Here is a 10,352-nt window from a genome sequence, read left to right as displayed (position 1 = left end):
GGGGGGAGCTTGTTTCCAGCCGGACTGTGTCCCTGGGCGCGCCAGAGCGCCGCGCCTGCGCGCTCAGCCCGTTGCCGCGCCGGCCCTGCGGACGTGCGCGCGCTGCCTTCGCGGCACCTGGGCCTGAGGTGCGTGCCTCCCGGGCCCTCGCCAGCTCCAGATGCGTGAGGAGGACTTCAGAAACCCGACTGAGAAGTGGAGCGACCCCCAGGGAGGGTCGGACCTGCCTCAATACCGCCAAGGTGCCTGGGGACCCAAGAACGGGGGCTCCACAACCTCAGTTCCTGAGCTCCTTTTGCTTTCTCACTTCCCCACCTATTGAGTGCGTCTCACGCGGAGCAGAAATTTGAGAGGAAGGCGTAGAGGGATTTTTTTTTGTTGTTGCTGTGGGTTGTATCACATGTGGCGTTTTCATCCTGGCTGCAGCCAAAGCAGTTTTTACCCTTACCCTTCCTTTCCTGGCGTGGGATTTTGTGGTTTCTGGACTCGGCTCGACCATTACGTGCTTATTATTGGTTGTGGGCCTTTAGAACGAGGACTGTGTGTCAGTGTCCTTTGTCCAGTGTAGTCCACTGGGAGGGAGAGGTGAGGGTTCAAGGCCAAGAGAATGGGCCCGGGGCGAGTGGGGCAGAAGCAGCCGCCGGAGATTATTCCCCAACTGAAAGTTGTGTGTGTTTCTCTTAGGTCTTTCATTTCTTGTTCGCTTACTTTCGTGAAATCCTCACATCGTTTTAATGGTACTAGTCAAGACAAGAAAATCAACAGGCTTTCAGCCTTGAGGCAACATTGGATATTATTGAGGTCAGTTTTTACAGTTTTTACAGTCTTCACGTAGAGTATCTTGTTCTTGTCAGGATAAATTCTGGATTGAACCACTGAGCAGATCTACTATTCTTTTATTTCAGTTTAAGATAAGAAAAATTACAGTCTTTTTTATTTTTATGTTATCAACAAAAATCGGTTGAAATGGGATTTGGAGCTCCATGAGTGCGTGAGGTGAGGATCCCTAACCTGACTCTCATAAACAGGAGATAGGATCACCACTTGCCACTAATGGTTCTAACAATCTAGGGCTCCCAGTAAGTGCTTTTCCACGTGGTGGGAGGCAAGTGACAACAGTTATCCAATCTTAGTGCTAACAATGGATGATTAACCGTAGCTCCTTTTTGGTACAGGAGCTGTAGGTAGCCAATCCCTGTTTTAATCAGAGGTAGTTGTGGTGTGTGATTTTTTTCTTTTAGGCGTGTTCCACGAAAGCATTTATTAAAGGGAAGAAGAAACATACAAAAGGAATTGAATCTGGCTTTATACCAAAATCCTGTGTGATCATTCAGTCCTGACATTGGACAATTACCAGGCTTTGCCTGACTGGCCTCAAGGGCCAAGCTGTCCTCCCACACCATACTCGATATGGGCCGGTGCATTGCAGTTTTCTGGAGGGGGTTGCAGTCAAGGACTTGCCCTGCCCCTCCTGCTAGATATGCAAATCCCATAACTTCTTTCCTAGCCTGGGTACCTCCATTTGGAGGCCCTCCTAGGAAGGACCGTGGCTAAGACACTTTTCTCCATTTTTGACCCAGCTTCTTTCACTCCTAGACCTTCCCCTCCCTTTCCTATTCTGAAGTTCCATAAGAGGCAGGAGATTTTTGTTAGGGGCTCCTTTCAGTGAGAGGATTACCTCATATGCACTGCATCAACTGACCCTCACCCAGTGTCCTTGTATTTAGTAGACCACTGGGGAGCCAGTGCCTCTTTTTACCACTTGCTTGCACTGTCACAGTAAGTGAATAAAGGCTTGATTACTTTTGGTTTGACTCATTGTCCTGATTGACTACCTTGGCACCTAATTGCTGCCAAGTTCTTTGCAGTTCACTGGATTCATGACTTAATTTTAATTATCATGACTGTTGCTCTGTATCGGCATGTTTAGAGACTTTGGAGCTTGTTCACCTCTAATTTCTCTAATTCAAGCTACTGAAAATGCATATTCATAGCACCAAGAGTTGATTGTTGGTTAACATTGATATCTGGGTTATATGATATATTTTACTACTATACTGGCTTACAGTCAGATTGTTTTATTTTGCGTGGATTTATGTGGCATTTTCCATTTGGCCTGTAATTAGATGATTTTTATTTAAAATAAATATTTTGGAATAATATGGGTCAAGTGAAGAAAACCAGACACTTGCTTTCTTTAGTAATCTTGTCTCATACTATGGGCCCCTATCTTTCTCACCTTAATAGATCACTTGGCCACTTTGAATAAAGTGGTCGATTTGTTGTAGGTTCCTTTGTCTAGTATGAAGAGGCATGTTAAGAACAGCTTTCATAAACTTTTTTACTTCTTCCTACAGAAGTTTCACAAAACAATATTTATCCTTGCTATATAGTATGCAGTCTGATACTTTCTACTATTATTTATCCCCTATTTTTATTTATGTATTTATTTTTAAATTTTTTTTGAGAGTCTTGCTCTGTCTCCCAGGCTGGAGTGTGGTGGTGCAATCTTGGCGGCTCACTGCAACCTCCGTCTCCTGGGTTCAAGCAATTCTCCTGACTCAGCCTCCCAAGTAGCTGAAATTACAGGCATGTACCACCACACTCAGCTAATTTTTGTATTTTTAGTAGAGACAGGGTTTCACCATGTTGGCCAGGCTAGCCTCGAACTCCTGACCTCAGGTGATCCCCTGCCTCGGCCTCACAAAGTGCTGGGATTACAGGCATGAGCCACTATGCCAGCCTCCGCTCTTATTTTAAATAACAAAGTGCTGATCATGATCTGCTAAGTTGAATTCACAATCCATTAATGAGTAATATCCTGCAGTTTGAAAAACACTGTGATAAAGTAACTAAAGATATTTGTTCAGTAATTTTTTTTTTCTGTTTCTGATTCACATTGCTAAAGAACCACAGTGGGTATGTTTGTGATTTGGGGTTGAAGGTATCTTCTAGGAGAAAATAGTAACACCGTGTTTGTTGGATGTTTGCCAGATCAGCTGACAAAAGAACTCCAGACTTAGAACTCTCTGATCTAGAAGATACATTATATTGAAAGAGCTAGCACAGCTTTTAATTTTTTTTTGAAAAAATCTCTGACTCCTTTATTTAAGGGCAGTGCCATAGTAAAGTAATAATGAAAAGAAAATTGGCTTCTCTGATAGAAGATAGAGTATAAGATAGTTATGAAAGTGCTTGCTAAACTTTTTTTTTTTTTTTTTTTTGAGACAGTCTCTCGCTCTGTTGCCCAAGCTGGAGTGCAGTGGTGCAATCTTGGCTCAGTGCAACCTCCGCCTCCCCAGTTCAAGCAATTATCGTGCTGCAGCCTCCCAAGTAGCTGGAATTAACATATGTGCACTACCACGCCTGGCTAATTTTTGTATTTTTAGTCGAGACGGGGTTTTGCCACGTTGTTCAGGCAGGTCTTAAACTCCTGGCCTCATGTGATCTCCCTGCCTTGGCCTCCCAAAGTGCTGGGATTACAGGTGTGAGCCACTGCACTGGGCCAGTTTTTTAAATCTTTATATTAACGCTTAAGACCAAAATGACCCTTTTACTATATTGCCTGATGGGCAAAGCACACTCAAGTTTCAATTACTTAGTCATAGATAGCTATATAAGTAACCAATTTGTCGATCTTATTACCTCTATGCTTGTCTTTTGGGAATTTCACAACAAAGTGAAAAGGAGAATTTTTTTTTTTTTTTTGAGATGGATTCTCACCCAGGCTGGATTGCAATGGCACGATCTCGGCTCACTGTAACCTTTGCCTCCTGGGTTCAAGTGATTCTCCTGCCTCAGCCTCCTGAGTAGCTGGGATTACAGGTGTGCACTACCACACCCGGCTAATTTTTGTATTATTACTAGAGGCGGGGTTTCACCATGTTGGCCAGGCTGGTCTCAAAATTCCTGACCTCAGGTGATCCACCAGCCTCAGCCTCCCAAAGTGCGGGATTACAGGCGTGAGCCACGGCGCCAGGTGAGAAATTTTTAAAACCTGTAAATTTAGTCAGTGGGTTTATCTCTTATTGAGAAACGCTTAAAAATGTTACTAAGACGATAAGGATAACATTTTAAAATTTGATTAGTGTTGAGCTAAATAGTTCCTTAGATTTATGTATTGCTTCACTGTTTTTTAGCACATTCATATACATTATCTCCATTGATTTTTGACAACAGCTTGTGGTGGTAGACAATCCAGGAGACCTTTTCCCCATTTTACAGATGAGAACTCTGTATTTCCTTCTTCCTACCACCAAGATCGTATAGTGGCAAATCCAGGACTAGAACCCAGGTCTTCTGTGAATTTTCTCCTAGTCCACACTGTCCTTGTTGGTCTAAAGAAGTAATTGAGAATAACTCATGTTAAATTTGTGGCTAAGAAATCCACCTATGATAAGTGAAATGTTCTATTCTAAGAGCATATTTACAATGTGCTATAATTGAATGCAAGTATATCTTATTTTTAGTATTATGTTTTGATTTGTTACCTTTCTAGCCCATTTTTTAAAATGATGGCAACTAAATACTGGCAAATCTACCTAATAATGAAATAGGAAAATTGGAATTAAAATATCTATTTCATGTTAAGAAATTCAGCCTAGTCCTCATTTAATGTAGCATCTCAATTAGAAAAATAGCTTAAAATTGTATTGATTTTTAGATATTTCTTTTAAAGACTCATATCTCTGTATGTATAAAATTAGTATTATTATTCTAAAGTATTACTTAAAATGATTATTAACTTGTAAACACTAAGTCCAGATTCTCCTTTGCCTTTAATATCTTCAGCCAAAGAACAACTTAAGTTACTTTTCATATGAATAAATAATTTTAAAATTAATACTTTTTTTCCTTTAATTTTTAGACATCTGTGGAATTTAAGAACAGTATGGAGCTCATCAGAGTATATCATTGAAGAATATGATGGCTGAAAACAATTTAAAAATGCTAAAGATTCAACAGTGTGTGGTAGCCAACAAACTACCTAGAAACAGGCCATATGTTTGCAATATTTGTTTTAAGCACTTTGAAACACCATCAAAATTAGCTAGGCACTATCTCATTCATACTGGTCAAAAGCCATTTGAATGTGATGTGTGTCATAAAACCTTTAGACAACTAGTTCATCTGGAGAGGCATCAACTAACTCATAGTCTGCCTTTTAAATGTAGTATTTGTCAGCGTCACTTTAAAAATCTGAAGACATTTGTGAAGCACCAACAACTTCACAATGAAACCTATCAGAATAATGTTAAACAGGTCAGAAGATTGCTGGAGGCCAAGCAAGAAAAGTCAATGTATGGAGTGTATAATACTTTTACCACAGAGGAAAGATGGGCATTACACCCGTGCTCTAAGTCTGATCCCATGTATAGCATGAAAAGAAGAAAGAATATTCATGCATGTACAATCTGTGGCAAGATGTTTCCATCACAGTCAAAACTTGATAGGCATGTACTTATTCATACTGGTCAGAGGCCTTTTAAATGTGTCTTGTGTACTAAATCTTTTCGACAGTCAACTCACTTAAAAATCCACCAACTTACACATTCAGAAGAAAGACCTTTTCAATGTTGTTTTTGTCAAAAAGGATTTAAGATTCAAAGCAAACTTCTGAAGCATAAACAAATCCATACTAGGAATAAGGCTTTTCGGGCTCTTTTATTAAAGAAGAGGCGTACAGAATCTCGCCCCCTGCCTAATAAGTTAAATGCAAATCAGGGTGGTTTTGAAAATGGTGAGATTGGTGAATCTGAGGAGAATAATCCACTTGATGTCCACTCAATTTATATTGTCCCTTTTCAATGTCCAAAGTGTGAAAAGTGTTTTGAATCAGAGCAGATTCTCAATGAACACAGCTGTTTTGCTGCTAGAAGTGGCAAAATTCCAAGCAGGTTCAAAAGAAGCTACAACTATAAAACCATTGTTAAAAAAATCTTGGCCAAGCTTAAGCGTGCTAGGAGTAAAAAATTAGATAACTTTCAATCTGAGAAAAAAGTATTTAAAAAGAGTTTCTTGAGAAATTGTGATCTTATTTCTGGTGAGCAGAGCTCTGAACAAACCCAGAGAACATTTGTGGGTTCTCTTGGCAAACATGGAACATATAAAACAATTGGCAATAGAAAGAAGAAAACATTGACTTTGCCATTTTCTTGGCAAAATATGGGAAAAAATTTGAAAGGCATCCTTACGACAGAAAACATATTAAGCATTGATAATTCAGTGAATAAGAAAGACTTGTCAATCTGTGGTTCATCAGGTGAGGAATTCTTTAATAACTGTGAGGTACTTCAGTGTGGTTTTTCAGTTCCAAGGGAAAACATACGTACTAGACATAAGATATGTCCTTGTGACAAATGTGAGAAGGTATTTCCTTCTATATCCAAACTAAAAAGACACTATTTAATTCATACTGGACAGAGGCCCTTTGGCTGTAATATTTGTGGGAAATCTTTTAGACAGTCAGCTCACTTAAAAAGACATGAACAGACTCATAATGAAAAGAGTCCTTATGCATCTCTTTGCCAAGTAGAATTTGGAAACTTCAACAATCTTTCTAATCATTCAGGTAATAATGTTAACTATAATGCTTCCCAACAATGTCAGGCTCCTGGTGTTCAAAAATACGAGGTCTCAGAGTCAGATCAAATGTCAGGAGTTAAGGCAGAGTCACAGGATTTTATTCCTGGTAGCACCGGGCAACCCTGTCTTCCTAATGTACTTTTGGAATCAGAGCAAAGCAATCCTTTTTGCAGTTATTCAGAGCATCAGGAGAAAAATGATGTCTTCCTGTACCGATGCAGTGTTTGTGCTAAAAGTTTCCGATCTCCATCTAAACTGGAAAGACACTACCTAATTCATGCAGGGCAGAAACCATTTGAATGCTCAGTTTGTGGCAAAACATTCAGACAGGCTCCTCACTGGAAGAGACATCAGCTTACTCACTTTAAAGAACGACCACAAGGGAAAGTGGTTGCCTTAGATTCGGTTATGTAAATTGTCGCAACCACTAACAATTGTGGTCTCTGGTGATCTTATTTTTAAAGCCTGTATTATTTAAAATGCATTTTTATTGAAAGGCCTGCATTAAACTGAATGGTTTCACAGGCATTTGCTTGTCCTGCATAGTAAGGAGGTAGAATACATAGAAAATTAATACAATGTTTTAGAAACAGCCAAGTTAATTTTAGAGGCAAGAACATGATTTGATGCTATAAAGTAGGCATTTTAATATTGTAAACATATACTTTGGCTGTATTGAAAAATATAAATCCATGATGGCTGTACAAATAATTTAGCCTCATTCATTTTTTAAAGGAATTATTCCTTAAGACATGCCATCTCTTTTTAGATATACTCAAAAGACTGAGAGGCAAAACTTGGCTTTTAGCTGCAGCACATAGCCCTGTTATATTTGATTTATTTTACATTTCATATGAAAGCATAATTTTGTCCACATGTGACTCAAATTGCATTGGTAATTTTTTTTTTTTTTTTGTAAGTTAAAAAAACTACAGAGACACTAAAGGTGAAAATGGATGAGACAATTATAGTATTATTTTCATTGGTCTTTTTTTTTGAGATGGAGTCTCACTCTTTCGCCAGGCTAGAGTGCAGTGGCGCCATCTAGGCTCACTGCAACCTCCGCATCCCAGATTCCAGCGATTCTCCTGCCTCAGCCTCCTGAGTAGCTGGGATTACAGGTGCCTGCCATCACGCCTGGCTAATTTTTGTATTTTTAGTAGAGACGGGGGTTCACCAAGTTGGCCAGGATGGTCTCGATCTCTTGACCTTGTGACTCACCCGCATCGGCCTCCCAAAGTGCTGGGATTACAGGCATGAGCCACCGCACCCGACGGTCTTTTCAAAGCTATTTATTTTTAGGACTATGTGGTAATTTCACCTTCAGGTGATAAGGATTTTTTTTTTCTCCCAGCTAGTGCTATCTTTCTCAAAATAATTTAAAAGTAGGCGAGAGGCTAGGATGTACCTATATTTACCATGTTTACTTACCAGGAATATTTTCTAAGTGCCATAGTCTTTTTCATAATACGTATGAGTTTTACCTTTTCAGAGGAATAATTTCAAGTCATTTATTTGCTCATTAATGATAGCAGTAGTCATAGACTTAAGACTATTCTAGAGATCTTCATCTCCATAAGACTTTTACATTTATTTTAGTAAACTTTTCTTTCTATGCCTCTTTAATGGAGTGGTTCTGTTATTTAAGCCTGTTCTAAGTTTGATCAAATGGCAATGACTAGGTCTAGTTTTAGTTTTTATTTTTGCAGGAGTCTATTGCTAAAGAATTTTATTTTGATGCTTGTTAAATTTTTATTTTAATTAATAAGGTAGTCATTCCTGTAGAGGGATAAGATGCTTGTAGAGTTGTGGGTATCATTCCAAATAGAACTGTTATGATTTGGGAAATATTCTTTACTACAAAGGACTTATTTCATAATTACAAATTTTCCTTCATATTTGCCTTTGTTTATAAAATCTTCAGGAATGACATTCTCTAGCAATAAAAGGAATGAACCGTTATGTTTCTAAGCTGAAAAGAGGAACAGGTGGGTAATTATCCTGCCATACTTAAATATAGTGGAAAATCCTCTATTGAGAATGTGGATAAATGAACAATTGTAAGTTTTGCATCATAAACTGAGAACTTTCTTTTGACAGGGGGGAGGCGGGAGGGATAGTAGGTGGGGGTGATCTGCTTGCTTCTTTTACCACAGGTGATTTTTAAGTAACTTGGGTTTAATTTACAGAGATGAAACATGACAGTCTGAGTAAAATACCCAGTGATGTAGAAGTGTGCCTGTTTATTATGTAGATACAGACATCCAGCAAAAACAGGAGAATCACATGCTTTAAAGAACACTTTCTCTTAGGTTTCCTTGAGATATGTTCCTCCAGTGCAAGCAAGATAATGGTTTACAGAATTTGCTTTACACAAAACTTGTCAAGAACTCATCTGTTAAAAGCAAGGAATAACTAGTTTATATTTTCCAATAATGTTCAAGGTTTTCTCCTTAATATGTTTGAAATTATTGATTTTGGCATTTTTCTAAGCAATTTATGTAATTTTATTTGAAGAAAATGTTTTGTATAATGTTTTTCCCAGCCTAAACAGGGAGAGTCCTAACAGTGTTGTGCTTGTATGATTCTGAGACTTTATTTGCGTAAGTGATACTACTATACTTTATTTTTGACCCATGCCTTTTTAAGCTGTTTCATATTGAAAGGTGGAATATTGTAAAAATTTTGTCAAAGATGTACTGTAGTGCTATTTGAAGTACCTGTAACAAAACAGTTGGCCCTCTGTATCCATGTACTCTGCATCTGTGGATTAAACCAATTGCAGATCAAAAATATTAGAAAAAATAAAAATAATACAAATAAAAATACAGTATAACAGTTATTTAAATAGCATTTACATTGCATTAGGTATTAGTCTAGGGATAAAGTATACAGGCGGATGTGCGTTGGTTATATACAAATATGTCATTTTATGTAAGGGACTTGAGTATACTTGGATTTTTGGTATCTGTGGGTTGGGGGGACGGTCCAGGAACCAATACCCCATGGATACCAAGGGACAACTGTACTTATTTACCTTTATTGTCATTGCAAGCTTCTTATGGAAACTTTATAGGAATGAAAATATACATGTTAAGAAGATTAAACATTAGATAGTAGATGGTTTGTTGCATGCTAGAACTGTTAGTATTGTTGAATCAATTACTTTGGTTTCATGAAAAAATAAACGATAAATATCTTTAAAGAGAACTAGAAGAATTTTTTGTTTGAGTGATTCCAGGCTGTAGTATGATCATTTACTGAAGTAGTTTGATTGGCTGGCTAACTTAGAATTATTGTTTCTTGTTTTGTACTGCAATAGGGGTTATAATTGTAAGATAAAAATGTGTGTGTGTTTAAGGGAAGTAGGTGGTGGTTAAAATTCTTGGAAAATTTTCAGAATACTTTAAAAATAAAGTTCCAAGTTACACAGTTTGGCCTTTTTTTTGGGGGGCGGGGCGGGAATTACAAAATATTGGAGCCAAGGTACTGATTGTCGGATACTTTTATAGGTCCACTCCAATCTACCTTCTACACCAAATTTACATGGATATTTGATCATTTACGCTCTTGTTCATGTTACATTTCCATGCTGTTCCCTTCTGTGGGAAAAAAAAATCCTTTGACATCTTCCTATCACCTACAAAAGAATATGTTAACTCCATTGTATGTTGTATGGTCTATGTATTTATCTGTTTATCCTCCTTTTTGGCCTTTCTCTTCAGATTTGTACTAAAGAAATACAGAATTAGGGGCCGGGCACAGTG

At 38.2% G+C, this 10,352-nt stretch overlaps 1 protein-coding gene across 2 annotated transcripts, besides 3 other annotated features; it reads left to right on the top strand.

The window, feature by feature from the left end:
• On the top strand, window positions 71–10,017 carry ZNF770 (zinc finger protein 770). 2 transcript variants are annotated; one of them, NM_014106.4, is made up of 3 exons: window positions 71–242; window positions 685–801; window positions 4,868–10,017. In NM_014106.4, the coding sequence occupies exon 3, from the start codon at window positions 4,924–4,926 to the stop codon at window positions 6,997–6,999; it is 2,076 nt and encodes a 691-aa protein (NP_054825.2). In that variant the 5' UTR covers window positions 71–242; window positions 685–801; window positions 4,868–4,923; the 3' UTR covers window positions 7,000–10,017. The 2 variants fall into 2 exon arrangements, with proteins under 2 accessions (NP_054825.2, XP_011520046.1); XM_011521744.4 differs by lacking the exon at window positions 685–801.
• Window positions 1,383–1,432: an enhancer, noted in NCBI's record as "active region_9186". NCBI's record gives its function as "activates an Ori minimal core promoter by ATAC-STARR-seq in GM12878 lymphoblastoid cells {active_cell/tissue: GM12878}" and the evidence as "EXISTENCE:reporter gene assay evidence [ECO:0000049][PMID:35858748]".
• Window positions 1,513–1,572: an enhancer, noted in NCBI's record as "active region_9185". NCBI's record gives its function as "activates an Ori minimal core promoter by ATAC-STARR-seq in GM12878 lymphoblastoid cells {active_cell/tissue: GM12878}" and the evidence as "EXISTENCE:reporter gene assay evidence [ECO:0000049][PMID:35858748]".
• Window positions 2,556–3,208: an enhancer, noted in NCBI's record as "NANOG-H3K4me1 hESC enhancer chr15:35277351-35278003 (GRCh37/hg19 assembly coordinates)". NCBI's record gives its function as "activates a minimal SCP1, AML or CMV promoter by ChIP-STARR-seq in primed H9 embryonic stem cells {active_cell/tissue: H9 hESC(primed)}" and the evidence as "EXISTENCE:reporter gene assay evidence [ECO:0000049][PMID:30033119]".
• Window positions 10,018–10,352: the final 335 nt, after the last annotated feature.

This window comes from Homo sapiens, chromosome 15 (assembly GCF_000001405.40).
Source record: "Homo sapiens chromosome 15, GRCh38.p14 Primary Assembly".
NCBI lineage: Eukaryota > Metazoa > Chordata > Mammalia > Primates > Hominidae > Homo > Homo sapiens.
This window is presented reverse-complemented; position numbering and strand designations above follow the sequence as displayed.

What these genes read in the sequence shown, in the direction of transcription:
- ZNF770 (XM_011521744.4), top strand. Translation starts at nt 4,924, where the DNA reads ATGATGGCTGAAAACAATTTAAAAATGCTAAAGATTCAACAGTGTGTG.